The following is a 27,988-nucleotide window of genomic DNA, read 5'->3' as shown; positions in this document are numbered from 1 at the left end:
GTGCTGGTGTGTGGGTGGATGAGGTGCTGGTGTGTGGGTGGATGAGGTGCTGGTGTGTGGATGGATGAGGTGCTGGTGTGTGGATGAGGTGCTGGTGTGTGGATGGATGAGGTGCTGGTGTGTGGGTGGATGAGGTGCTGGTGTGTGGATGGATGAGGTGCTGGTGTGTGGATGGATGAGGTGCTGGTGTGTGGATGAGGTGCTGGTGTGTGGATGGATGAGGTGCTGGTGTGTGGGTGGATGAGGTGCTGGTGTGTGGATGGATGAGGTGCTGGTGTGTGGATGGATGAGATGCTGGTGTGTGGATGGATGAGATGCTGGTGTGTGGATGGATGAGGTGCTGTGTGGATGGATGAGGTGCTGGTGTGTGGATGGATGAGGTGCTGGTGTGTGGATGAGGTGCTGGTGTGTGGATGGACCACGTTTTGGTTTTCTGTTGGGCACTTGGGTTGTTTCCACTTTTCTGCTCTTGCAGTGTTGCTGTGAAAGTTCACGGACAGTGCATACATCTTTGTATGCACCGGAGCACTTGGGAGATGATCGGTACTGTTTGGTTGGATGAAGATATAGATGTGTGTGTGTGTGTGTGTGTGCACGTCCGTGTGTGCGCAGGCATACGCACTGTTTTCTCCTGATGTGAGGAAGGGTCCTCATTTGGTCCTCAGCTAAAGCTGCATCTGAGTGAAAGTCAGTTTCCTGGAGAAGGCTCCTCGGCAGGATGATTCCGTTACTTTACGATTCTGTAGTGAAGGACCGCAACGAGTTAGCTAACAGTGACTGGCCTCTGAGAGTCTCAGGTGTGAAGTACAGGTCACCATAGGAATGGACACACCCTGCTCTGCCCTCTGGGTGGTGGGTTGGGTTGCATGGTCTGAAGCTCTCTGACTCCACAGTAACCTGGGGTCTATCGACAGCAAACAGCAGTAGCTCATGAAGGCAGAACCTGCCCTGCTGGAAGGCCGGGGTGTGTATGGATTCCCCGTTGTGCTGTTTGCTGACGGATGATAGTTTCTATCTCTGATAGGACGGAGGTGGGACCCACATGTACTTAGAGAGACTGGGCTGGGCGCAGTGGTTCACACCTGTAATCCCAGCACTTTGGGAGGCCGAGGCAGGCGGATCACCTGAGGTCAGGAGTTCAAGACCATCTTGACCAACATGGTGAAACGCCATCTCTACAGAAATACAGAAAAATATTAGCCAGGCATGATGGTGGGCACCTGTAATTGCAGCTACTCGGGAGTCTTAGGTGGAATAATTGCTTGAACCCGGGAGGTGGAGGTAGCAGTGAGCTGAGATCGTGCCATTGTGCTCCAGCCTGGGTGACAGAGCGAGACTGTCTCAAAAAAAAAAAAAAAAAGACTGATTTGTAGAGAAACCGGGAAGGTGAGCTGGAGTGCGGTGGTGTGATCTCGGCTCACGGCAACCTCCGCCTCCTGAGTTCAAGTGATTCTCTTGCCTCAGCTTTCCAAGTAGCTGGGATTACAGGTGCGCACCACCACGCTCGGCTAATTTTTGTATTTTTAGGAGAGTCGGGGTTTCACCATGTTGGCCAGGCTGGTCTTGAACTCCTGACTTCAAGTGATCTGGCTGCTTTGGCCTCCCAAAGTGCTGGGATTACAGGCGTGAGCCACCGCCCCTGGCCTAGGGTAAGTGGTTTTTGAGCCATAGGTTTATTTCAGTGCTGAGGCCTCTAACTTCATGTGATGTCATTTAGTGTCTTAATCAGTGTTGACAGCCAGAACACCTTGGTTCAAATTCTGGCTGTGCCACTGACTGCTTTCCTGGGTATCCTGACTTGTTAGTCTTGGTTTTCTTATCTTTTTTTTTTTTTTTTTTTTTTTGTCGCCCAGGCTGGAGTACAAAGGCGCCATCTCGGGTCACTGCAGCCTCTGCCTCCTGAGTTCAAGCAATTCTCCTGCCTCAGCCTCCCAAGTAGCTGGGATTACAGGTGCCTACCACCATGCCTGGCTAATGTTATATTTTTAATAAGAGGCAGGGTTTTACCATGTTGGCCAGGCTGGTCTCGAACTCCTGACCTCAGGTGATCCACCCACCTCGGCCTCCCAAAGTACTGGGATTACAGGCGTGAGCCACCGCGCCCGGCCGATTTCCTTGTCTGTAAAATGAGAATAAAGGTAATATCTGCACCACGAGTTTGCTGTGAGGATAAATGCACATAAAAGGACTGTGCCTGGCATAGAATAAACACAAATGGTGGTTTTTCTCTGAGTAGTAATCATTAAGATGAGACAAGGGTGTGGTTTATAAGTTGCCTGAATTCTGGAGACGGCTACTAATCATGCCACATAACGTGATTAAGTGCCCTGTCTTTACACTATCATTTGTTATTTGATGGACTTGATACTCGGAAAAGCAGGGCGAAGTTTCCAAGGCATGTGTTTGAAATGGTAGGGGAGGTGCATGCACACGGCTCTCCCTGGCTGTGCTGTAACTGCTTTTGAAAGACAGGGGCTCTCTAGTCTGAGGATGAGCCACTAGACTCTCAGGGATCCGGCAGGAATTGCTCCTTTGCTCAGCAGATGTCTCTAGGCCGCCGGTGCAGCAGTGGTCCTGCTGTCGGGCTGCCTCACGATGTTTCTGTTCACGACGGACCATACATACTGGTGGTCCGCTAAGATGATCAGACTGTGTTTTTACTTCCCTTCTGTGTGTTGAGACATCTACTTGCCATTGTGTTACAGTGGCTTAGAGTGTCTGGGACAGTACTGTGCTGTCCAGGTTTGTAGCCTATAAGCATTGGGCTCTCCCGTCAGTGCAGGCGTGTGGCAGGCTGTGCCTTCCAGAAGTGTGTGCGTGCACTCGGACAGCACAATGACAAGGTCGCCTAATGATGTGTTGTTTCCCAGAACCCGTCTCTGTCATTAAGCAGTGCGTGACTGTATGTTGTATAATTTTGTAAGGTGTAGACTGTAAAGTCACTCAGAGAAGCGTTTGCATGCAGAGTGCTTAACTCAGAGAAGCGTTTGCATGCAGAGTGTTTAATTCTGACTGTACCCTAAGCATGTAGAGTTTTCTGTAAATGTCACCACAGCGGCCCAGTCGAGGGGCCTGGTGGTGACACTGCCTGGCAGCTTGCCCTGCTTGGAGCTCCATCCTGCACGCAGCTGCTGAGCCTCGAGGCAGCCGCCACCACGACATTCCCCTGTATTTTGTGCTGTCCATAGGCCTCTGGCTGAGGAGGACATGTGGATTTTTTAAGACTTCGTATTTAGGAATGACAGCAGTTTTGAGAAGCCTGTTGGGGTTTCAAATATAAATGGGCTTTTTAAAGTAGCTTTATTTTTCTAAAGAGGGACGTGGAATCTTTTTATAGAAAATTTTCCCCTTTTAGGTAGAAAACGGTGATATTTGGCTACTGCCACAAAAAGTTAATTGAGTCCGTTGTGTCAGCCAGAGGATGAGACTCTGGTGGGGTTCCCATGCAGGCAGTGAAAGGAGGCCCCGCCCCAGCGCAGTTAGGGCAGCGGGGGGCGCCCCATCTATGGGGCTGCAGCAGGCCCCAGGCCTGTGTTCCCTCGCTGGTTGGGGACGGCAGTGGCAGCGCTCGGTTCTCCTCTGTCATTTTTTGAAGCGGACTTGGATGCAGACACACTGGTTTAGTTTTTTTTTTTTCTTTTTTTTTTTTTTGAGACGGAGTCTCGCTGTGTTGCCCAGGCTGGAGTGCAGTGGTGCGATCTCTGCTCACTGCAAGCTCCGCCTCCCGGGTTCACGCCATTCTCCTGCCTCAGCCTCCTGAGTAGCTGGGACTACAGGCGCCCGCCACCATGCCTGGCTAATTTTTTTGTATTTTTAGTAGAGACGGGGTTTCAGCACTGGTTTAGTTTTGAATGAAGGTCTGATCCTCAGATTGTTCTTATAAAGTAATCCATCAGGAAATTCGTCTGGGGGGGAGGGGGCGTCGGGCAATTCGTCAGGAGGGGGAGGGGCGTCAGGCAATTCGTCAGGAGGGGGAGGGGCGTCAGGCAATTCGTCAGGAGTGGGAGGGGGCATCGGGAAATTTGCCAGGAGGGGGAGGGGCGTTCTTTTCTTGCTCCGCATGTGTGGGGTTTTCTTCTCAATTGACTCTCATGTGTAGTGTGTCCGCTGGATGGTGCTGTCCCCTGCGGTGCCAAGCCCGGAGGGGATGGAGCTGCTGTGGAGTCTGTGGAACTGTGAAGTGAGGCCAGCTTGCAGGACTCCAAAGAAACTTAGTGAGCTGAGATCCTGCTGGGTATCCCTATGTGAAGAGGCCACCCCAAAGGCTCATGCCAACTCCGGGTTGGATTAATAGAATTGGTGTCTAGAAAAAGGAACTGATTGCTTCTGGTTGACATTCCATGGAGGGGTGTGGTTGTCATTTTCAGTGATACATTGAAAGGGGTGCTGATATGATGGAGGGTGCTAGAGGAGAGAAGCTGGTGGGATCCCGCGTTTGAGCAGTGAGAACCGAATTCGCTCCAGCTTGGAGCAAGCGAAGACTCCTGGCAGTCACCCTGATGATGTGGTGAATTATCTCTGAACTTCAGTAAACTTGGATTAGATCACTCAAGCTTCCTTTTACGTTTGAGATTCCATGTCTTGATGTCTTGTGTTTTTTTTTTCTTGAGACGGAGTCTTGCTCTATCGCCCAGACTGGAGTGCAGTGGCGCAGTGTCGGCTCACTGCAGCTCCCACCTCCTGGGTTCAAGCAATTCTCCTGCCTCAGCCTCCTGAGTAGCTGGCATTACAGGTGCCTCCACGACGCCAAGCTAATTACTGTATTTTTAGTATAGACAGGGTTTCACCATGTTGGTGAGGCTGGTCTTGAGCTCCTGACCTCGTGATCCGCCCACCTTGGCCTCTCAAAGTGCTGGGGATGACAGGCGTGAGCCACCGCGCCCGGCCCTCTTGTGTTTTTTAGGGTACCTGCCCATTTCTGGGCTTTTACATAAAACCCTGTAAGTGGGTTTTGGGGACAGCTGTGTAACATGCACAAAAAATAAATGGAGGAAGAATGCATTATCTAAATAGGCACTGACTTGCGTGATTGAAGCTGTAACCATCCTTTGCAGCCCAGAGTTGCTGTGACCTGTGTGGAGAGGTGGGAGGGCCAGGCAGAGAGTGGGTGTGAAAGCCACGGAGGATCCCAGGGAGTGGATTCCTAAGTAGGAGGCGAGGCAGGTCATCAGTGAGGATCCCAGGGAGTGGATTCCTAAGTAGGAGGAGAGGCAGGTCATCAGTGAGGATCCCAGGGAGTGGATTCCTAAGTAGGAGGCGAGGCAGGTCATCAGTGAGGATCCCAGGGAGTGGATTCCTAAGTAGGAGGCGAGGCAGGTCATCAGTGAGGATCCCAGGGAGTGGATTCCTAAGTAGGAGGCGAGGCAGGTCATCAGTGAGGATCCCAGGGAGTGGCTGCAGTGACTGTGCCCAGCAACCCTCCTTAAGGCCCTGCCCTGGTGCCTGCGGCTCTAGGAGATTCCCTGGGTAGTCCCAGCACACGCACCCTGTTCAGCCTGATGTTGCAGCCCAAAGCCATTCCTGTGTGCCCCGCCTCCTCTGTGCCTGGGCGCCCTGCACATCTGTGGCCGGCGTAAGCACCTCTGCGAGCTTTCTGAGCACCTGCTGCCCGAGCGCCTCCTCACCACCCCTGTCTGTTTTGTTGCTCCTCTCTCTGGTTGTGAAAGTCACGCCTGCTCACTGGAGGACTGCTGGGAGATGCAGGAAACGATTAAGACAAGAAAACCACTGAGAACCACCCATGTAGAAGCTGGGTTAGGATTTGCTTTGCACCTGCCTTTTCACCTGTAGAAGCTGGGATAGGATTTGCTTTGCACCTGCCTTTTCACCGATAGAAGCTGGGATAGGATTTGCTTTGCACCTGCCTTTTCACCGATAAAAGCTGGGATAGGATTTGCTTTGCACCTGCCTTTTCACCGATAGAAGCTGGGATAGGATTTGCTTTGCACCTGCCTTTTCACCTATAGAAGCTGGGATAGGATTTGCTTTGCACCTGCCTTTTCACCTATAGAAGCTGGGATAGGATTTGCTTTGCACCTGCCTTTTCACCTATAGAAGCTGGGATAGGATTTGCTTTGCACCTGCCTTTTCACCTGTAGAAGCTGGGATAGGATTTGCTTTGCACCTGCCTTTTCACCTGTAGAAGCTGGGATAGGATTTGCTTTGCACCTGCCTTTTTACCTGTAGAAGCTGGGATAGGATTTGCTTTGGACCTGCCTTTTCACGTGCTGTTTTTCGAGCATTGTCCCGTGACATGCAGTATTTTAAAGAATCTAATTCTTAAACATCTTTGTCAAGTTGATAGAATAAAATGGTATCTCTGCTTTATTTGAAATTCTTTGATTACTAGGGAGGTTGATTGTAGTTATTTATGTGTTATTTGTGTGTGATTGTATTATTTGTGTGTATTTTTAAGGTTTTAAATTTGCTTTTTGTATTTTTTTATTGCCATGTATTTTTATATCAGTTTTATTGAGACATAATTACAATAAAATTCAATAAAATGCATGCCTTTTAGATGTACACTTAGATGAGTGTTAAGAAATATACACACCTGACCAGAGGCGGTGGCTCATGCCTGTAATCCCAGCACTTTGGGAGGCCGAGGCAGGCAAATCACCTGAGGTCAGGAGTTCGAGACCAGCCTGACCAATATGATGAAACCCCATCTCTACTAAAAATACAAAAATTAGCTGGTCGTGGTGGCAGGCACCTGTAATCCCAGGTACTTGGGAGGCTGAGACAGGAGATTCACTTGAACCCTGGAGGCGGAGGTTGCAGGGAGCCGAGATTGCACCACTGCACTCCGGCCTGGGCAAGAATGAAACGCTGTCTCAAAAAAAAAAAAAAAAAAGAAATATGCACACTTATGTAATTAGCACCACAGACAAGATGTAGGCCCTTGTCACCCCAGAGAGCTGTAGTTGGTCCCCTCCCAGCTCCTGCCCCGAGCAGCTATCCTGGGCCGAAGACGGATCTCACCTTTAAGACGCTCGTGTGCATGGAGTCCAGCAGAACCTGCCTTCCTTCAGCGAGATGTTTTTAAGATTCATTCACATTGCTGTGTGCATCAGTAAACAATTCCTTTTTGTTTCTGAGAAGTCCTCCCCCATGTGGGGAGCACCACATGCTGTTCATTCACCCACTGAGGGACAGCTCGGCTGCTGGTGGTGACACAAGAGCGTGTATAAACTTGTGCATGTCCGTCTGTGTGGACTGGTGTTTTCCTTTCTCTTGAGTCCATGTCTTATGTCAGATTGCTAAGCTGTGCGCTAAGTTTATGTTTCACCGTTGTTTCACTGTGTTACGTTTTCACCGGTGCCATGGCTCCAGCAGCCCCATGTCCTCGCCAGCACTTGATGTTGTCTTGATCTCGGGTGCCCAGCCATGTGTGGTAGGAAGTCACTGTGGACTTGGCATATGTTTCCCTGACCGCTCGTGATGTTGGGCATCTTTCCTTTTTTCATTGGCCTTTTTCCATCTTTTTTCCCCCCATTTTTCTATCTTACGAACTTTCTGATCAAATCTTTTGCCTATATTTTTATTGGGTCATTTATCTTACTATTAAGATAGAATTCTGGGCCGGGCACAGTGGCTCATGCCTGTAATCTCAGCACTTTGGGAGTCTGAGTCAGGCAGATCACTTGAGGTTTGAGGTCAGGAGTTCGAGACCAGCCTGGCCAACATGGTGAAACCCCATCTGTACTAGAAATACAAAAAATCAGCCAGGTGTGGTGGTGCACGCTTGTAATTCCAGCTACTCAGGAGGCTGAGGCAGGAGAACCGCTTGAACTTTGGAGGCGAAGGTTGCAGTGAGCCGAGATCTGGCCACTGAACTCCAGCATGGGAGACAGAGGGAGAGTCCATCTCAAAAAAAAAAAAAAAAAAAAAAAAAAAAAAAAAAAGAATTCTGTATGTATTCTGGATACAAGTCATTTGTCAGTCATGTGTTTCAAGATATTTCTCTGTCTGTTGCTTGTCTTTTTATTTTCTAATGGTGTATTTTTGAAGTTTTTTATGTTGGCGGAGTCCAGTTTATAATGTTCTACCTAGGAAATCTTTATGCAGTCCAAGGTCTTGGAGATGTTCTCCTGTTTTATTCTTGAGGTTTGAGCTTAGCTAGCTGGGCTCTTAGCAGGATGGTTTTGGTAGTTGATAGATCAGATTAAATGGTATTTAATTTGTGAGCAGTAAGTGCTCACAAAACAGAAATCAGTGTAAAAATTGGATTTTGTTTGTTGTTGTCGTCTTTAGAACAACCAGAAATTAAGCAGGTTGATAGTGTCTTTTTGTTTATTTCATTTTAGATCAACAGGCGGTCCTTCGGGTCGGAGTGGACATCGGATGGTGGCCTGGAAGAGACAATTGATCCTGTTTGGTGGCTTCCATGAAAGTACACGGTTGGTACCAAGAACGGAAAAATCTTTCTCTCCTGAAGCATTAAGGAGTGGGCTTTTTATAGAAAGAGCATTCTGAATACACAAGAAAGACGCACCCATCCTCCCAAATCCAGCTTCATGAGCTTTGGGCAGCCACACAGGGCCTTGCCCTCCAAAGGGCCTCACACCGGGCCTCACACTGGCTTCATGCTGTATTCCTATTGAAATTCTTAACCATTGTTGAACAAGGGACCCCACATTTTAATTTTACACCAGGTCCTGCAAATGATGTGGCTAGTTCTATCTAAAATGGGGTTTTGGCTGGGCATGGTGCCTCACGCCTATAATCCCAGCACTTTGGGAGGCTGAGGCGGGTGGATCACTTGAGCTCAAGAGTTCGAAACCAGCGTGGCCAACATAGTGAAACGCTGTCTCTACTAAAAATACAAAAATTGGCCAGGCGTGGTGGCAGGTGCCTGTAATCTCAGCTACTCAGGAGGCTGAGGCAGGAGAATCGCTTGAACCCAGGAGATGGAGGTTGCAGTGAGTTGAGATCATGCCACTGAACTCCAGCCTGGGTGACAAAGCGAGACTTCGTTTGAAAAAATAAATAAATAAAAAAATAAAATGGGATTCTCAAACCTTAGCCTGGTTCAGAATACCCTAGAGGGCTGGTTAGAGTGCTGATCGCAGCTCTGAGTCAGAGGCCTGGAGTGAGGCCCAGGAATCTGCATTTTAACAAGCTCCCAGGTGATGTTGACGTTGCTGGCCAGGGGACTTCACTTTGAGAGCCACGGGTCTGTAATCACTTCAAAACACTCCTGTCCGGGAGAGCAGTGATAGCACACTCTCCACAGCGATGCCGGAAGAGGCCTGCGGTTCTCTTTTGATGTCACGTGGGTGTTCGTGCAGCTGGCATGGCTGCCCAGGGTGAGCTGCGGGCTCTCTCATTGTTTTAGGCCTGTTATCTGCTCACGTTATCTTCTTGAGCTTACTTAGTTCAGTCCAGAAAAGCAAGACACAGGGGAGCTGGTTATCCCTGTTTCTGTCATAAGTGCAGTTGTGTTCTGAGTGAAGTGTCGCAGACTCTGCAACCCTGGTGAAGGTCATCTTTGAAGGCTCTCTGCTGGCATCGTGGTGTCAGAGACAGTGGCTGTCTGTATCTCCGGGGCCTCATTTGAAGCCCTCTTTCTCTACTGGTCCCTCAGGAACCAGCATGGCAATTGATTGATGTGAAGGTGCCACTCACACCTTTGTCACATGGTGAGTCCAGTCGCACCCTCTCGTGATTCTTGATCCATCGTGATAAGTCTGTACAGCCTCCCAGAGTGCTGGGATTACAGGCGTAAGCCACCGCGCCCAGCCGGGTTTCAGATTTTCTTCACTGATATAGTCTCATTAATTTTGTGAATTCGGGGGGAAAAGGGATCCAAATTCTTAAATACTTTTCAAGGGGGAAAGATTTAAAAATGTAATTCAAACTAAAAAGTATTTAAGGCTGGGTACAGTGGCTCACATGTGTAATCTCAGCACTTTGGGAGGCTGAGGTGGGTGGATCACTTGAGGCCAGAAGTTTGAGACCAGCCTGGCCAACATGGCAAAAACTCATCTCTACTAAAAAATACAAAAAATTAGCCAGGTGTGGTGGTGCACACCTTTAATCCCAGGCACTCGGGAGGCTGATACAAGAGAATCGCTTGAACTGGGGAGGCGGATGTTGAAGTGAGCCGCATGCCCAGCTAATTTTTGTATTTTTAGTAGAGACGGGGTTTCACTATGTTCGCCAGGCTGGTCTCGAACTCCTGACCTCATGATCCACATGCCTCGGCCTCCCAAAGTGCTGTGATTATAGGCTTGAGCCCCCGCGCCTAGCCTTATGTTCATTCTTAAAATTTATTTTAAAACAAATAATTGTCAGAATGCACACATAAGTTTGTCAGAGCATTAATTCATTACCTACTATGTGTAGGACAGTGAGATTGTACAGCCCCTTCCTCCTTTGAACTTACAGGTTATAAATCAAATCATGCTTCATGTTTGTTTTAACTTGCAACCATTTTAAAATCAGAACTTTTTTCAAAGCTGTTGTTATCTTGTTTAAAATTATTCAAATACCAACTTGGGAGTTTTCCTTAAACTCTATTCTGCATTTATAGAGAAAATATTCTGTATTTATCTTACGTGCAAAGTAGAATCTTTGTACTAAAAATCTGCGACGTGAAATCTGAAAAAAACAGTGGTCTGTAGCAGTCTTTTAAAGATTACACGCTTCCACATTTCCACATTCCTCAGATTCTATCTATATTAAGAGCCATCGTCCTGCGAAGGATGTGGTCAGTCTGAGTTGCAGTCAGCAAGGTCAGGTTATCTTTTCTTTCTTCTTTTTTTGAGACAGATTCTCACTCGATCGCCCAGGCTGGAGTGCAGTGGCGTGATCAGCTCACTGTAGCCTCCACCTCGTAGGTTCAAACTATTCTCGTGCCTCAGCCTCCTGAGTAGCTGGGATTATAGGCACCCGCCCCCATGCTTGGCTAATTTTTTGTGTTTTTAGTAGAGACAAGGTTTCACCATATTGTCCAGGCTGTTTTTGAACTCCTCGCCTCAAGTGATCTACCTGCCTGAGACTCCCAAAGTGCTGGGATTGCAGGTGTGAGCCACTGTGCCCAGGCTGTTTATCTTAAGACCAGATGTGGCAGCTGGTGCTGGGTAAACGCCCTGTGACTTTTCCTGCTTCACACAAAACAGGAACAAACAGGAGAAAACCGGGCACTTGAGACTTGGGCTAGAGCTGCTTGCTCTTCCATGCTTTCCTTAAAAAATGAGTTTGGCTCTCCTTTTTGAGTAGCTGGAGAGCAGCCCCTTACGCTTTCACGATAATTGTGTCAAAGTTCCACATTAGGACAGGACTTTCTGGGTGCGCCTCCGAGTCTCCCCATGCCTCCAGCAAAGCTGCCACTTCCCTGTTCAGCCCAGTCTGCGTGCTGGGTCCGGCAGGCACTGAGCAGGGCAAGGCTGCGGGGCCTCCTTGCCGCGCTGTGATTTCGGGCACAGAGGGTCGGCTTCTGTGGTCTTCAGTTTCCCTGGAGCGCCCAGTCCCCTCGCTCACCCCTCCAGTCCACTGTGGGGCCTTACCACCCTTGCTGCCAGGCTGCTCACACCTCCGTTCTGATCATCCCTTTGGAGGCGCCATTCACTGCTGCCCTTACGGTTGCACACCTAATAACCTAATGGAATTGTCTCTGATTGTGTTAACTGTGTAAGAAAACGCAGTATGGCTTTCAGATTAAATTCCTCTGCCTCTGTGGGCCAGCATTATTTCCGGTTTTCAAATGCAAACTCATACGTGCTTGTGGTCCTTTCATATCAATTCAAACTTGAATTAAACAGGTGAAAATGTTGCCCTGTCTCCAGGTAGATTGCGTCAAGATTGAGTTTGAGGAGACCTGACTGGCGTCTCTGGCTCGTTGCAGGGAAAGCGGCCACGTTTCTGTGTTGATTGTTGTGTTGGTGTAAGAGCAGAGGAGAAAAATGGTTTGAGTTTTTCCCCAAACAGTAGGAAATTTACCTTTAATTTAAATCAGTTCAGTTTTTAATGTCAGGGCTTTTCCCAATGTTACGGACCCTGACAGCTGCTGTTCTTCTAACCAGGGATTACATCTACTACAACGACGTGTATGCCTTTAATCTGGACACCTTCACATGGAGCAAGCTGTCCCCGTCAGGGACGGGGCCCACACCCAGATCAGGCTGCCAGATGTCCGTCACTCCCCAGGGCGGCATCGTCGTCTATGGGGGCTACTCGAAACAGGTAAGGCGGGGGGTGGGGAAACAGGCAAGGCGTGGGACCGGGAAACAGGCGAGGCGCGGGGTGGGGAGACGGGCGAGGCGCGGGGTGGGGAGACGGGCGAGGCGCGGCGTGGGGAGACGGGCGAGGCGCGGCGTGGGGAGACGGGCGAGGCGCGGCGTGGGGAGACGGGCGAGGCGCGGCGTGGGGAGACGGGCGAGGCGCGGCGTGGGGAGACGGGCGAGGCGCGGCGTGGGGAGACGGGCGAGGCGCGGCGTGGGGAGACGGGCGAGGCGCGGGGTGGGGAGACGGGCGAGGCGCGGCGTGGGGAGACGGGCGAGGCGCGGCGTGGGGAGACGGGCGAGGCGCGGCGTGGGGAGACGGGCGAGGCGCGGCGTGGGGAGACGGGCGAGGCGCGGCGTGGGGAGACGGGCGAGGCGCGGCGTGGGGAGACGGGCGAGGCGCGGCGTGGGGAGACGGGCGAGGCGCGGCGTGGGGAGACGGGCGAGGCGCGGCGTGGGGAGACGGGCCGAGGCGCGGCGTGGGGAGACGGGCGAGGCGCGGCGTGGGGAGACGGGCGAGGCGCGGGGTGGGGAGACGGGTGAGTTGCGGCGTGGGAAAATAGGCGCTGCTGTCTGTGGTCTCTTCAGTTTCATGAACATTGAAGCTTTCACATGGGATTACTCATTGGTTGAATATAAACAGTTCTTTGTATAGAATTAGAAATAGAGATAGTGTTAATCGGCTCCTCTGTGAACTTGGTGCCGTGTTAGGGCCCTGTTCTGTTCTCCACACCCCTGTCAGCAGTGCAGTGTGAGCGATTCTGTGTTCTGAGGGTCTCCTTCCTGCACCATGGACGCTCACTACTGTGTAGTAGTCTCTGTGGAATGAAATTCTCCTCGCTCCTGTTAACGGGCTTGTTTCTTTGGTAACCTGAGAACAGTGCTGACAGGAATGTTCTCGCGCCCACCCCGGAGCCTCCTGCTCTTGGGGCGTGTGCTCTGCACGTGTACTGGCATCTGCTCGTGGAGTGTGTGCTCCTCACATGTGCCTGCTGCTCGTGGGGCGTGTGCTTCACAGAGGCGGCTGGCACAGGCTCTGTCCTCGGAACTCAAGTGTTCCTGTTGCTTCACTCCCATTTCACACTCTGCCAACCTTTACATTTCTGTGAATCTGAGAGGTATGAAGTAGTATCTCACTGTAGGGGTTTAAAAAATCCTTTGTATTTTGAAAATTTTCAACCACAGCTAACTTTTGAAAGAATTTTACGGGGAACACCTGTATACTCCTCCTAGATCCTGCTATTAAGATTTTGCTATGCTTAGGCTGGGCGCGGTGGCTCACGCCTGTAATCCCAGCACTTTGGGAGGCCGAGGCGGGCGGCTCACGAGGTCAAGAGATCGAGACCATCCTGGCTAACACTGTGAAACCCCGTCTCTACTAAAAATACAAAAAATTAGCCGGGCGTGGTGGCGGGCGCCTGTAGTCGGTGGTAATTTCCTATGCGTCATTGACCCACAGTGAGGGGACACATTTTTACAAGTGCGGGCACCGTGTGACTCACACCCTGATCCTGCCGTGCCCTTCCCACTCGGCCCCGCTGCCCACCCTCCCCTCCGCCCAGAGGTGACGCTGCTCTGATTTTCCCACCGTAATAGATCTGCCTGTCCTGGAGCTTCTGCTAAACAAGTCACCCAGATGTGTGGGGCCAGTCTTCTTTCCCTCAGCTTTTCAGACCCACGTGTTGCATGTTTCTGTTCATTGCTGCTTCGTGCTGAAGTGTTCCATTATATGACTGTCCCACAGTTTGTGGTTCTGTTTTTCGTTGGACACCTGGGCTGTTTCCGTTCTTCAGAAGACACAGCCTTTGGAAGCAGCTGTGACTGAAGCTGCTATGAGCACGTCCATAATAATCTTTTGAGTGGCTGCGTGTGTTGGTTTCTCTTGGGTAAATAGATATCTGGAGTGGAGCTGCTGGGCCCTGGGGTGGGTGTGGGTGTGGGTGTTATTTAATAAGGAATGGTCAGCTCTCTTCCCGAAGCAGTGGCCGGTTCCACTTGTGCTGGAAATGTTGGGGAGTTCCAGTTGCCCCCTGTTCATACCAGCCCCAATGGCGTCAGTCTTTCTGTTTTTAGCTGCTCTGGTGGATGTGTGGTACCTCGTGGTTTTAATTCTCATTTCTCTCATGACTGCTGGTGTTGAGTGCTTTTCATGAGCTTGTCTTTCCTGAAGTGTGTGTTCATGTCTTCTGCTATTTTTAATGGGCTGTAGTTTTTGTTAGTGAGTTGCAGAAGGTGACATTCTGGACACCAGTTCTTTTCAGGTGTGTGGATTACAAATACCCTCCCAGTAGTGGCTTGGCTGGTCACCTTCCGAAGTGTTTGTTGATGAGAAGCTTTGAGTTTTTGATAAAATCTAATTTATTACGTTTTTCTTTTGTGATTATTGCGGTCTGTGATACAGGAAGACCTTGTTTAGCTTCAGTAACAAAGATTTTCTTTTATTTTTCTCTAAAAATGATATGGTTTCACAGTTAGCCCTGTGATCTGCCCGGGACTAATTCTCAAGAGCAGCATTAGGTGAGTGTTGAGGCTGTTTCCCCCATGTAGATACTCACTTGTCTCAGCAGCATCTGTTGGAAAGGCTTTTTAGGCCGAGCACAGTGGCTCACGCCTGTAATCCCAGCACTTTGGGAGGCTGAGTCGGGCGGATCACTCGAGGTCAGGAGTTCGAGATCAGCCTGGCCAACATGGTGAAACCCCATGTCTACTGAAAAATACAAAAATTAGCCAGGCGTGGTGGGGCGTGCCTGTAATCCCAGCTACTCGGGAGGCTGAGATAGGAGAATCACTTGAACCCGGGAGGCGGAGGTTGCAGTGAGCCAAGATTGTGCTGCTACATTCCAGCCTGGGCAATAGAGCAAGACTCATCTCAAAAAAAAGAAAAAAGAAAAGGCTTTTTATTCTCCATTGAATACCTTAGGAACCTTTGTTGAAAATCACATGCCTGCAGGAACATAGGTCTGTTTCTCCATTCTGATCCACGTTCATTCTGCTGCCTTGGCAATAAAGGATTTCAGCCTTTTAATGGCAGTTGGTCAGAGATTGTACCGAGTTGATCGGAATGACCCGATTTTTTTCTTGGTCATCTTTTGTTCTGCACAGAGAAAATCACCCTATTTTCTGGAGTAGTGGCTGGCATCGGTCAGGCTTGTCTAGATATTCTGGCATGTGGGAGGGCACTGAGAACAGGCTGACTTGGCTGAAAGCCAGGCAGGATGCCCCGGTCTAGTGCTTTCTCCCAGCAGATGTGTCGTAGAGTGCAGCAGGACGGTGAACAGCCAGACCGGCTAAGCTGTATCGCTTTCATCAGAGTCGCGTGTCATTCTCAGCAGCTGCTGTCTGCAGCCACGTGCACCCGCCCTCAGTCTGACGGTGGGTGATCTCAATCCACTTAGTTCAGTAGCTCTTGGCTCTGAGCCTGTGGCATTTGGAATTGCAGTGAAAAGCTTGTCTGTTTGGATTCATGAGAGATTTATCAGAATTAGCGAGAGATTTGAGTTGTGAATGGTTTGGAGTGTAAAAAAAAGTCAGTAGCCTAAGCAGGTGGTCAGCTGCGCCATGGCTGAAGCGGCAGTGTGCACGAACTGATAGAAACTTTGGTACATGGCCCGTACCTGAGCTTGGGGCTGGGGGAAGCTCGTCCTTGCTCTGGCGCCATTACACCCTCACCCGCCATGCTCTGTCCTCTTGGCATGACCCAGCTGTGCTGTGCTGCTGCGCGGCCCAGGCCAGAGAAGACCCCACACACTGTGGGCACACGCCTCTCTCCCACGCAGGCCCCGTCCATGCTCCCAGGAGGTCCTGCCACCCGCCACCCACCCTCACCTCACATTTCACTGAGCAAGTAGAGGTGGCTTGGAGAGTGCCTGACCCCTGCCCACTGCCATGCACTGCACTCTCCTGCCAGACCTGGCGCCTCCCCGGGGCCCTCAGGATCACACCACAGTGCAGCAGCTGGAGTGACCTGCAGAGATGCAAGCCAGGCCAGGTCTCCTCTATGCAGAACCCCCATGGTCCTCGTCTCAGCAGGGCGGCCCCAGTTTCCATCCCCCTGCGTGTCCTTGTCCTTCTGCTCACCATCCTCCCTGCTGGTTACAGACTTGGCCATTGTCTCTCAGCCCGGAGAAGAGAGTCTCACAGGGCCAGTCTTCTGTCCACTTGCGTGCCTGGTGCCTGGACAGTGGCGTGCTTGACAGTGTTTGATCAGATGAAGGCATTCTGACCGTGGTTCTGCATGGCAAGGCTCCAGAGTTTGACATGTGAAGAGCTCGGGTTCATGAAGTGGACAGTAGTGCTCAGAGCCTTGACCTTGGGGCTGGACCTGCCTGTAGATTAAGAGGAACTCACAGACACCTGCCCTCCTTCCTCCTCCTGTAACCAGATCCCGTCCCAGGCTCCCTCAGGAGATGCATCTGAGTAGCCTTGGGAGGACTTTAAACACCCTCCAGGCTCTGCGCTGCCACGAAGAACCGGCAGCTTTGGTCAGTATCGTAACCACGTTTTATAAATTCCGAGTCAGTCTGGGTCCAGCTAGTGCTTTGACTATGATGACTTGTATCCTAACGAAAGAGATGCAGCGTGTGGGACAGCAGACCCAGCAGCATTCACGTGTCAAAGACTCAGTCCTTAGACCCAGCAACATTCACGTGTCAAAGACTCAGTCCTTAGTATGTGCTTCCGGTGTCGTGGGAGCTTCTGGAGAGGGGGAGTTCTCGTTCCTTTAGAGAGTCAGGGAACCAGCACAGCTCTTTGGAAATGGTGTTTGGATGGGGAGGGTGGGGGCGCGACGGTGGAAGGTTTATCACCTAGTGGTCTGTTTCCATGGACACATGGGCAGCGAGGGGCGGAGTCCTGCTGAGGACGGGGCCCTCCTTCCTGCCTGCGTTTTGACCTCAGTTGTCATTGTGCGCCTGGAGGTCAGGAGATAACGTCCATGCATAACCAGGAGAGGGCTGTTCTCTGCACGCCCCACTGTTACCGCGAGGCCGTGGAGCATGCTGGCAGAGGCCAGAGCGTCCTTTCATTTGCCACTTGGGAGCTGAGCTCCTGGAATACCAGAAGCAGACAGAGTTGTTGCGAGTGTGGACTGTGTGACTTGGGAGATCCCGGCTGACCTCGGAGCCAGAGCTCCGTGCTCACCTGGCCCCTGAGGTCCGTGCCCAGCTCTCCCAGGTCACCGGCTGCAGGTTGTCTCAGCTTGTCTCGTGCTGGGGAATTGGGCGCGACAGTGGCTTCTACTCATGTTCCAGCACACGCAGACCTGTGGCCACACCTGTTTCTGGGTGTATTTTTTTTTTTTTTTTTTTTTTTTTAGAGACAGAGTCTCGCTCTATCCCCCAGGCTGGAGTGCAGTGGGGCAATCTCGGCGCACTGCAAGCTCCACCCACCGGGTTCACGCCATTCTCCTGCCTCCGGAGTAGGTGGGACTACAGGCGCCTGCCACCACACCCGGCTAATTTTTTATATTTTTAGTAGAGACGGGGTTTTACTGCGTTAGCCAGGATGGTCTCGATCTCCTGACCTTGTGATCCGCCCGTCTCGGCCTCCCAAAGTGCTGGGATTACAGGCATGAGCCACTATGCCCGGCCTTCTGGGTGTATTTTTTAATGGCGAAGCTGAAAATGTTCAGTCTTGGAAAGCGACAGGTAGAAGTCTTGGCTGTGGGGGGTTGAGTGGCCGTTGGCCGTTAAGAAGGTGGTCTCGGATGTGGATGGGAAGGTGCCCTGGGGCCCAGCTTCAGGTATGGAAGCAGGCAGGGCCTTGTCCCGGTTCAGACACGCAGAGGGACTTGACCCGGTTCCAGGAGAAAGGACTGAGTGACTGGAGAGGCAGGCACGGTGGGGACCCCGGGCTGGCTCTGCAGAAACCATCGCGACAGCAGTGTCCCCAAAGAGGCTGCGGCTGTGGCAGGGCACATGCATGGGCTTCTGGAGCAGCTTCCCTGAAGCAGTTTTCAAAAGGAAGCTGACTAGAAGTGGTGCTGATGGAAGTGATGCTAACCGTAACCGACAGGGTGTCATTTTAGCAGCAGCTCTGCCTGGAGGGGGCGCGCGGCTTCATGCTGCTCTCGCGACACGTGGTTGGGCGGGGGTCCTCTCGTCATGGGTCCCTCTCTCCCAAGCCCCGCAAAACGTGAGATGCCTCCTGTGCACTGATGTGGTGCGGCGTCTCCCCAGGGGCGCGGCGTCTCCGCAGGGGCTCATCACCTGTGGTTGTGTGGTGAGGAGGGCACGGTGCGTGCGGTCGCTGCTTGCCCGAGCTGTGCTCTTGATGGGTTGCTGGACCTGCGTCTGGCAAAGGTGGTTTAGGAGTCGTCTTCGGGCGCCTGGATGGACAGTCTCAGTGGTGTGGGAAGGAGCGGCCCCCATGGTTTCTGTGTTCACACACGTCCGCTTGGAACCGACACCCTATCCCTGCCTGATTGTGATTTCGGTGAACATCAGTGCTGCCGTTAGCACTGTCTTCTCCCAGGACCAGTCGTCTGGCCGTCTTCTCCCACAAACGCTCCCCGGCCTTTATCTACCTACCACTGCACCGCCGGCCCATTCTGTGACCTGGCCTGAGCTGGTGACGGGGTCCTTGGGGCGGCCCTGTGTGTCTTCTCCTCTCCTGATGATTGAAATGGGTCGGCGTCTGAGCCGACAGCCGGGTGAGCCAAAGCAGCTGCATTGAGGACTCACTGCAGGCTAAGCTAAGTGGCCTGTACTTCTGCGGGAGGTGGGGTCTCATCAGGGGATGTGGCTGCAGGCTAAGCTAGGTGGCCTGTACTACATTGTGCGGGAGGTGGGGGCCCGTTGGGACTTGGCGTGTGCGGCCGATGCGCCTCCAAACGTTCAGGCACAGCTCTGCTGGGCTCTGGGGTCTCAGCCGGATGCTAAGTAATTCCAGAGCCAGCCCTGTTGCGCTCACCCTCCATGTTGACACTTGATCTCTCTCTCAGATGTCTTTGCATTCCAGCAATAATGTATTAGAATGAAGTCTAACTTCTCCAAAAATTCATGCAGATTCTGTTTACTACTTTACCGTAGCCGAATCAGTTTTTTGTTTTTTTTTTTTAGTATTTATTGATCATTCTTGGGTGTTTCTCGGAGAGGGGGATTTGGCTGGGTCATAGGACAACAGTGGAGGGAAGGTCAGCAGATAAACATGTGAACAAAGGTCTCTGGTTTTCCTAGGCAGAGGACCCTGCGGCCTTCCGTGTGTTTGTGTCCCTGGGTAGTTGAGATTAGGGAGTGGTGATGACTCTTAACGAGTATGCTGCCTTCAAGCATCTGTTTAACAAAGTACATCTTGCACCGCCCTTAATCCATTTAACCCTGAGTGGACACAGCACATGTTTCAGAGAGCACAGGGTTGGGGGTAAGGTTATAGATTAACAGCATCCCAAGGCAGAAGAATTTTTCTTAGTACAGAACAAAATGGAGTCTCCCATGTCTACCTCTTTGCACACAGACACAGTAACAATCTGATCTCTCTTTCTTTTCCCCACATTTCCCCCTTTTCTATTTGACAAAACCACCATCATCATCATGGCCCATTCTCAATGAGCTGTTGGGTACTCCTCCCAGACGGGGTGGCGGCCGGGAAGATCCTCACTTCCCAGACGGGGCAGCCGGGCAGAGGCATCCACCACCTCCCTCCCAGACGGGGCGGCTGGCCGGGCGGGGGCTGCCCCCCACCTCCCGGATGGGGTGGCTGCTGGGCGGAGACGCTCCTCACTTCCCGGAGGGGGCGGCTGCCGGGCGGAGGGGCTCCTCACTTCTCAGACCGGGCGGCCGGGCAGAGACGCTCCTCACCTCCCAGACAGGGTGGCGGCTGGGCAGAGACACTCCTCAGTTCCCAGACGGGGTCGCGGCCGGACAGAGGCACTCCTCACATCCCAGACGGGGCGGCGGGGCAGAGGCACTCCCCACATCTCAGACGATGGGCGGCCGGTCAGAGACGCTCGTCACTTCCCAGACAGGATGGCGGCCGGGAAGAGGCGCTCCTCACTTCCCAGGCTGGGCAGCCGGGCAGAGGGGCTCCTCACATCCCAGACGATGGGCGGCCAGGCAGAGACGCTCCTCACTTCCCAGACGAGGTGGCGGCCGGGCAGAGGCTGCAATCTCAGCACTTTGGGAGGCCAAGGCAGGTGGCTGGGAGGTGGGGGTTGTAGCGAGCCGAGATCACGCCACTGCACTCCAGCAAAAACCAGTCAGGCGTGGCGGCGCGTGCCTGCAATCCCAGGCACTCAGCAGGCTGAGGCAGGAGAATCAGGCAGGGAGGTTGCAGTGAGCCGAGATGGCGGCAGTACAGTCCAGCCTCCGCTCGGCATCAGAGGGAGACCGTGGAGAGAGAGGGAGAGGGAGAGGGAGACTGTGGAGGGAGAGGGAGGGGGAGGGGGAGGAGAGGGGGAGGGAGAGGGAGGGGGAGGGAGAGGGGGAGGGAGAGGGAGAGGGAGAGCGAGAGCGAATCGGTTTTTGTGGAAAGACTGCGTGAATGTAAAGCTGGTTTGGTGTATGCTAATAGAGCTTGAGCACAGGTGATCCAGAAAAACAGAGGGCAACAAGGCCGTTGTCTGTTACTTTCTTTGAAGACAGACAGGTTGGATTTTGGGAAAAGTCACAACACTTCAAGAAAAGAAACTGCTGTAGAAGGAGGAGTTAGAAGCTGTTGGGGAGGTCGAACCATGGGCCCTGTTAGAGGGTGTGGCCAGCCAGCTGTGTGCCGGAAGGAACCTGTGGACCCGTGTGAGCAGATCAGGCCTTGTGAAGTGCTCCACCTCTCTGGCTTGCATGGTCTGGAGGGGAAGTACTTAAATATTGTAGCATAAAACATTCCCCCATAGGCTGTTAATTCTAAGAAGACAATGTTGCTGTCAGCAAAACAAGACGGTTCATATAGACAGGTGCAGGGTACTACAAGGAGACAGAGACCTGCCGAAGCTAAGCAGCGATTTGAGTTTCTGATGACAAATAGAGACGTCACTGAATTCCTTCCTTGTCCCCCCAGCAGATGAAGTCTCTGGGTGTCAATTCAGTTCACAATAATGCTAGGCCCTTAGGTTTGGAAAAGCAGGCATGGAAATGACAGCCATTTTCTATCAACCTGTTACAAAAAGAGACTAGTCTCAATCACTGTCTGTAATGTGCAGAAACTGCATCACTGGAATTGCACAGATGTTTCCAGAAGGAGAACAAAAGAGACCCAGACTCAGTTTTCACTTCCTGAGATTCAGGTCACTCTCCATATGGCCAATGTGGAGCCCTCTTAGTTTTAGGACACTCAGGCCCAGGTGGAAATATGAAGTCTCTGTGGACAGTGGATCATTTGCATGTTTCAAAAGGAAAATGTTTTTTTTCCATTATAGTAAATACAGTACATGTTAGCTATAAGAAAAATAACCATAAACAAATATTTCCTTGCTCTACCAGATGGGACGGCCTAGAAACAATACTACCCGGTAGCAGTTTACACATCCATTGCCCAAATCTTGGTCTCTTTAATTTTTTTAATTTTTGAGAAGTCTCACTCTGTCGTCCAGGCTGGAGTGCAGTGGCATGATCTTGGCTCACTGCAGCCTCTGCCTTTCAGGCTCAAGTAGTCCTCCCACCTCAGCGTTGGGAGTAGCTGAGACTACAGATGCATGCCACCATGCCTGGCTGATTTTCATATTTTTTGGGAGAGATGGGTTTTTGCCATTGCCCAGGCTGGTCTTGAACTCCTGAACTCAAGCAGTCTGCCCACCTTGGACTCTCAAAGTGCTGGGATTACAGCAAATCTTGGTATCTTAGTTTCTTTTCTTTTCTTTTTTTTGAGACGGAGTCTCGCTCTGTCGCCCAGGCTGGAGTGCAGTGGCGAGATCTCGGCTCACTGCAAGCTCCGCCTCCTGGGTTCATGCCATTCTCCTGCCTCAGCCTCCCCAGTAGCTGGGACTACAGGCGCCTGCCACTGTGCCTGGCTAATTTTTTTGTATTTTTCGTAGAGATGGGGTTTCATCGTGTTAGCCAGGATTAGTCTTGATCTCCTGACCTCATGGTCTACCCCCCTCGGCCTCCTGAAGTGCTGGGATTACAGGTGTAAGCCACCGTGCCCGGCCCCTGGTTTCTTGGTTTCTAACACTATTCTCCAACAAAGGGAACCAGGGCTCCCTTGAGAAATGGCGAATCGTAGGGCCGAGCAGGGAGTATATAGGAGGAATTGAGCATCTTGTGGTGCCAGAGCCTAAGGAGGTGCTCAAAGGAACCCACAAAGATGGTGCAAGTCACAGGGACCCAAGAGTAGCTGTAAAGGCTCCTAGTGGCAGCTGTGTGTCGTTGAACAACCCGAGCAACAAAGATGGGTAGTGATAGAGCATAGCCGAACTCTGCGTCAGTATCCACGAGACATAGCGCGTACCCAGAGTCTACGTCAATATCCACAAGACCATAGCGTGTACCCAAAGTCTACGTCAATATCTACAAGACCATAGCGTGTACCCAAAGTCTATGTCAGTATCCACGAGACATAGCGCGTACCCAAAGTCTACGTCAATATCCACAAGACCATAGCGTGTACCCAAAGTCTACGTCAATATCCACGAGACATAGCGCGTACCCAAAGTCTACATAAATATCCACAAGACCATAGTGTGTACCCAAAGTCTACGTCAGTATCCACGAGACATAGAGCGTACCTGAAGTCTGTGTCAATATCTACGAGACATAGAGCCTACCCAAAGTCTGCATAAATATCCACAAGACCTTAGAATGTGCCCAAAGTCTGTCAATATCCATGAGACACAGAGCGTGCCCAAAGCCTGTGTCAATATCCACGAGGCACTGAGCGTGCCTGAAGTCTGTGTCAGTATCCATGAGGCACAGAGCATGCCTGAAGTCTGTGTCACTACCCCTGCGACCACAGTAGCGTGGCCGAAGTCTGTGTCAATATCTGTGAGAACATAGAGCTGAAGAGAAACTGTCAGACACGACCTCAGCCAGGCGGTCGATGTCAGCATCCACTGTGATGAGTCCTGTTGATGGTGTGGACCCTTGATGGGATGTGATGAGATGGGCACTTCACCCCGGGGATCGTCCTAATGATTCATAACCCCAGTCTAATGAGAAAGACAGCAGACAGTCCCAGTAGAGGGGCACTCTATAAAACTCCTGAGCCATCCACACAGCTATCATGGTCCTCAGAGACAAGGAGAGTCGGAGAAGCTCAGGGCCCAGAGGAACCTGAGGAGGCGACAGGACGAAACGGCCAGTGGGACCCTCGACGGGATCCCTGGGCAGGATGAGCTGCGGAGCACTGGGGCAGTGAATGAAGTGTGGGCCACGCTCCCGGTAACGGGTCAGTGCCGGTTCCTGATCCGTCACAAGGGCGCCAAGGAGAGGAAGGTATTCATGCTGGGAGGACATTGGTGTGGGCGTGTGAGAGCTCTCGGTACTATCGTCTCAATTTTCTGCAAATACAAAACTTCTAAAATAGTGTATTAAAAATAGAGAATTAAAGTGCAAACAAATACAAAGATGAGATGGAAATGGATGGGGGCCCTCCACCCAGGGTGAGCGTTTTGCTGGCTATCTCCCTCACAACCTTAGGTCCCAGGTAATGGGTGTGGCACCAGGACTTGTAGGGCATGGGTGCTGGGGAACAGTGCACCTGGTCCAGCTGAGGCTCACTTGAGGCAGAAGACTAAGGGCTAAGGGACATGGAGCGCGTTGTTTTCGAAGCTTGGAGAAGTCTTTCAGTGGGCAGTGCCTGCCCTCTGCACACAGTAGTAACTTGATTTCTGCTGTGAAGCCTGAGTCGTGTTATTTGGAAGGCGGTGGGGATCCACCGGGATCAGGAACAAAGAGTGACTCTGTAATGGTATCAGAGGCCCCTGTGGTGGTTTCCACACAGACCAGGGCTGCTGTGGAAGCTGTGCGTGCCCCGACAGGAACTCTAGTGTACTGTGTGATCGCGGCCATTAGAAAGGTGGCCTCTTCAGATGGACCCATTTGGGGGATAAAGCCTGTCAGGTGGTGCCAGCCCTGAGCACACTGCAGGCACGCTTTGGAGCTTTGGGGCTGGTCTACAGGGAAGGCCTCCAGCCCCTTCCATCCAAAATGCGCCCACAGGGTTGGGGGGTCTGTAAGCAACCACTGTAGCTGCCCCCGGTTCTCACACAATTCCTTTCCATTGCAGAGAGTTAAGAAAGACGTGGACAAGGGCACACGGCACTCAGACATGTTCCTGCTGAAGCCAGAGGACGGAAGAGAAGGTAGAGGTGCTGTGCCTCCAGGGCGGGAGCTGGCTGGTCTGTGTGTGGCGGGAGGCAGAGCCCACACCCTCCCATGGATGTGGGGCTGGCGGTGAGCCCCTGCACCCTGCCCGGAGCGGAGGGCCTGCCGAGATGGCTCATTTCGGGGTGGGCCGGGTGGGACAGGCTCCATAGCCCTGGTGTCTGCTGGGCAATCACCTTTGGGGGCATTGATGATGGACTGACTGAGAAGCACGGGCGCTGTTACCCTGCAGACAGCCCTCTGTGGAGCAGTGAGCACAGTGCCCCTCAGCAGCTCCTGATGGGCCCCTCCAAGGGTCTTGAGCTCTCGAAGGGAGAACCATCCTGGGCCTTGAGTACAAGCCACCAGGAGTCACTGGGGCTGCCTGGCACTGTGGTGACGGGCCTCGCTCTTGGGGTGGTTGCGGGCAGCAGCTGGGCAGGCTGGGTGTGGGCTTCCCAGCCAGGGGTCGGTGTTGCTCATGCACAGAACTTCAGAAGTCATCACCGAGACTGCTATTGGCCCTCACAGGGACGGCCTCCAAGAACGGCCGTGGCCTCTGTCAGCTTGAGTTACTGAACTCGGGGCTGTTAGAATGCCTAGATTTCTAAAAGCTTTTAGCTAAACTGGGATCTAAGAATCAAAATTTTCTTACTAAAGCACAGGGGAACAATCATCATTCTCTGGGACTTTTTAAAAGGATGACATGGGATGACCTAGGGGACAGCCCTTTACATGGCTCTGGCACCCAGAGGGCCCAGGATGTGTCAGCCACTCTCACCACCTTCTACACATGGCACGTTTCATGTTCCTGGGCGTGGGTCATGTGCTGAGATGAACTGTTGGCGGCGTTTCCTGCCAGTGGCTGCCCGTCAGTTCTCACAGACCTCTGAAGCGGAAGAAGCCGTGCCTGTGTGGAGCATGGGCGGGGGGATGGGGGTGGCCTGCTACTTTTCAATCATTAATTTCTTGATTTTGAAAAAAATTGCATTTGTTACTGGCTGGGCGCAGTGGCTCATACCTATAATCCCAGCACTTTGGGAGGCTGAGGTGGGAGGATTGCTTGAGGCCAAGAGTTTGAAACCAGCCTGGGCAACATAGTGACACACCATCTCTTAAAAAAAAAACGTAGCCAGGTGTGCTGGCGTGTGTGCCTGTAGTTCCAGCTACTCGGGAGGCTGAGGCAGGAGAATGGCGTGAACCTCGGAGGTGGAGCTTGCAGTGAGCCGAGATTGCACCACCGCACTCCAGCCTGGGCGACAGAGCGAGACTCTGTCTCAAAAAAACAAAAAAAATATGTAGCCAGGTGTGCTGGCGCACGTCTGTAGTTCTAGCTACTGGGGACGCTGAGGTGGGAGGATTGTTCTAGCCCAGGAGGTGGAGGCTGCCGTCAGCTGAGATCGTGCCACTGCACTCCAGCCTAGGCAACAGAGTGAGACTCTGTCTCAAAAAATAAAAAATAAATAGAAGGAGACAATGGCATTTGTTCTGCTCCAGAGCAAGAGAGTGATGCCAGGAGGCACAGATCAAGGGTGTTTGCCGTGGAGTTTAGCGTCCCCAGTGCCGTTAGGAAACCAGGGGACAGCTCTCTTATGGGAGGCTGTGGCTTGGGACCAGAGGGCTGGGCTAGACCCAGGAGACCCAATGCCTAGGCCAGGTCTGCTTTTGTGACCCACAGCAAGTTCTCCAGCCTCCCCAGGAGAGGGGACCATTGTGCAAAGTGTTTTTACCTCCTTCTTGCACTAAAATTCCTCATGCTGAGGCCTCAGAAATACCCGAAGGGTTAATCTGAGTCCACACCCATTTGCCTGTCAAAAGGCCCAGGTGCCTCTCCCAGGGCCCTGCCTTACTGCACCCTGGCTGATAGGACAGACGCCTTCTTTCAGTCACTTTCCAGCCTACACCCCAGTGAACTTGAACCTGGATGCTGGACTGTTTCCCGCAGGGCGGCCCTGAGCCTGTGTGCTCTGCTCGTCAGCCCCCAGGAGGAAAGCATCGTGGTGAGGAGCGACACACCTTGTGTGTGTGGGTTTCTGTCACCGGAGAGGGTCCTGCCCTGTGTGGCGAGTTCTTGTGGTGGTCTTCCCTGTTCCTTCACACAGTCATGTGCTGGTGGGAATGAGGCGGGGGCCCCAGAGCCACGCCCACACTGGGCATGGGCGGGTGACGTCTAGCACCACACAGAATACGTCCATTTGCTGCTTCTGTTTTTTTTTTTAAATGTTCATTGGAGGAAAAAAATCTCCATTCTGTCTCCTAGAAGTGGTGGGGAGACATCTGCACATTGGGCTCTGTTTGAGGGTTGGCACATCACATAGGCGCGTGCCAAGAGAGAACATAGACCCTTCCTGAAGTAGAGCTGGCCACACTGCAGCCCAAGGTGGGGCTGGTGCAGGCACTCAGACCCCAGGCGAAGGCTCCTCGCTGGCCACACTGCAGCCCCCGGGCGAAGGGTCCCTGTGCAGGGCGGAGGGTCCCCGTGCAGGCCCAAGGGCGGCTGGCACAGGCATTCAGCCCCCTGGGCGAAGGGTCCCCTTGCAGGGCGGAGGGTCCCCGTGCAGGCCCAAGGGGGGCTGGCACAGGCATTCAGCCCCCTGGGTGAAGGTTCCCCGTGCAGGGTGGAGGGTCCCCGTGCAGGCCCAAGGGGGGCTGGTGCAGGCCACTCAGCCCCCTGGGCGAAGGGTCCCCGTGCCGGGCGGAGGGTCCCTGTGCAGGGCAGCCTCCCCACAGAAGCCCCTCTGTGTGTCTAGCGTGTGTGCTGCTTCTGCCCAATCCCTGCCTTTCCACTGCGGCTTGTAGCTGCCCCTAGTTTAGAGGTGCTTGGGGGTGTGTGGAAAGCTGTTGAATGCCAGCTCTCTTAAGGAAAAGGGTGGAACTCGAGGGGAGTTGAATGGTGTCTGTTTTTCTGCAGAGGGAGCAGAGTTTTTGCCCACAGTCTCACGGTTTTCATTTACCCCATTCTGGGGGGCACCTGGGGTCCTGAGCGTGTCCTGGGCTGGCTCTCAGGGTCCTTCCTTGTGTTCTTATCCCACTTCCTTGTTCTCTTTTGACAGACAAGTGGGTTTGGACTCGGATGAACCCTTCGGGGGTCAAGCCCACCCCACGGTCTGGCTTTTCCGTGGCCATGGCCCCGAATCACCAGACACTGTTCTTCGGGGGTGTCTGTGACGAGGAAGAGGAGGAGAGCCTGTCGGGCGAGTTCTTCAACGATCTGTACTTCTACGACGCCACCAGGAACCGTTGGTTTGAGGGACAGCTGAAGGTAGTGCAACCTCTGAGTAGCATGCGCCGTGGTGCGCAGCCCTAACTTGGGTCCCTGCCACCACTGCCTTCCTCCAGCACCTTTTGGTATTGGGGCCCCCAAAGCCCATGAGCTCTCTCAAGAGGGGCGAGGGTTCCGTCTCTGACTGTCCTGGGTGACTAGGCTTGGAGAGCCCTTGGTCACGGTCCCCTTAGTCTGTCCTGGATGCTGGCGGGGCTGCTACCTCAGAAGCCAGTTGCCCTGGGCTGAGGTGCCCGGGACCTCCCCGGCCC

At 52.5% G+C, this 27,988-nt stretch overlaps 1 protein-coding gene and 1 long non-coding RNA gene across 15 annotated transcripts in view, besides 3 other annotated features; both read left to right on the top strand.

Moving 5' to 3' along the window:
* KLHDC4 (kelch domain containing 4) overlaps positions 1-27,988 on the top strand; it is a 67,841-nt gene that overhangs the window by 27,036 nt on the left and 12,817 nt on the right. For 9 of the 14 annotated variants that reach the window (NM_001184854.2, NM_001351938.2, NM_017566.4 and 6 more), the window contains 4 exons: positions 8,307-8,399; positions 12,027-12,186; positions 24,378-24,453; positions 27,508-27,716. In NM_001184854.2, the coding sequence (NP_001171783.1) occupies positions 8,307-8,399; positions 12,027-12,186; positions 24,378-24,453; positions 27,508-27,716 (538 nt within the window). Of the gene's footprint in view, positions 1-8,306; positions 8,400-12,026; positions 12,187-24,377; positions 26,455-27,507; positions 27,717-27,988 lie in introns of those variants that run through there. The other 5 variants (NR_147833.2, NM_001184856.2, XM_047434257.1 and 2 more) reach the window with 5 other exon arrangements.
* LOC124903752 (uncharacterized) lies at positions 1,582-6,507 on the top strand. The gene is made up of 2 exons (XR_007065174.1): positions 1,582-5,163; positions 5,215-6,507. It is a non-coding gene; the product is annotated as an uncharacterized LOC124903752 (long non-coding RNA).
* Positions 13,257-14,456: an enhancer, noted in NCBI's record as "P300/CBP strongly-dependent group 1 enhancer chr16:87758101-87759300 (GRCh37/hg19 assembly coordinates)". NCBI's record gives its function as "activates an origin of replication core promoter dependent on BRD2, BRD4, P300/CBP, MED14 and CDK7 cofactors, with strong dependence on P300/CBP, by STARR-seq in HCT116 cells {active_cell/tissue: HCT116}" and the evidence as "EXISTENCE:reporter gene assay evidence [ECO:0000049][PMID:35650434]".
* Positions 13,535-13,624: an enhancer, noted in NCBI's record as "active region_11328". NCBI's record gives its function as "activates an Ori minimal core promoter by ATAC-STARR-seq in GM12878 lymphoblastoid cells {active_cell/tissue: GM12878}" and the evidence as "EXISTENCE:reporter gene assay evidence [ECO:0000049][PMID:35858748]".
* Positions 21,988-22,176: a silencer, noted in NCBI's record as "fragment chr16:87750381-87750569 (GRCh37/hg19 assembly coordinates)". NCBI's record gives its function as "represses an EF-1alpha promoter that drives an FKBP-Casp9 reporter gene in an ReSE screen in K562 erythroleukemia cells {active_cell/tissue: K562}" and the evidence as "EXISTENCE:reporter gene assay evidence [ECO:0000049][PMID:32094911]".

This window comes from Homo sapiens, chromosome 16 (genome assembly GCF_000001405.40).
Source record: "Homo sapiens chromosome 16, GRCh38.p14 Primary Assembly".
Taxonomy (NCBI): Eukaryota; Metazoa; Chordata; class Mammalia; order Primates; family Hominidae; genus Homo; species Homo sapiens.
This window is presented reverse-complemented; position numbering and strand designations above follow the sequence as displayed.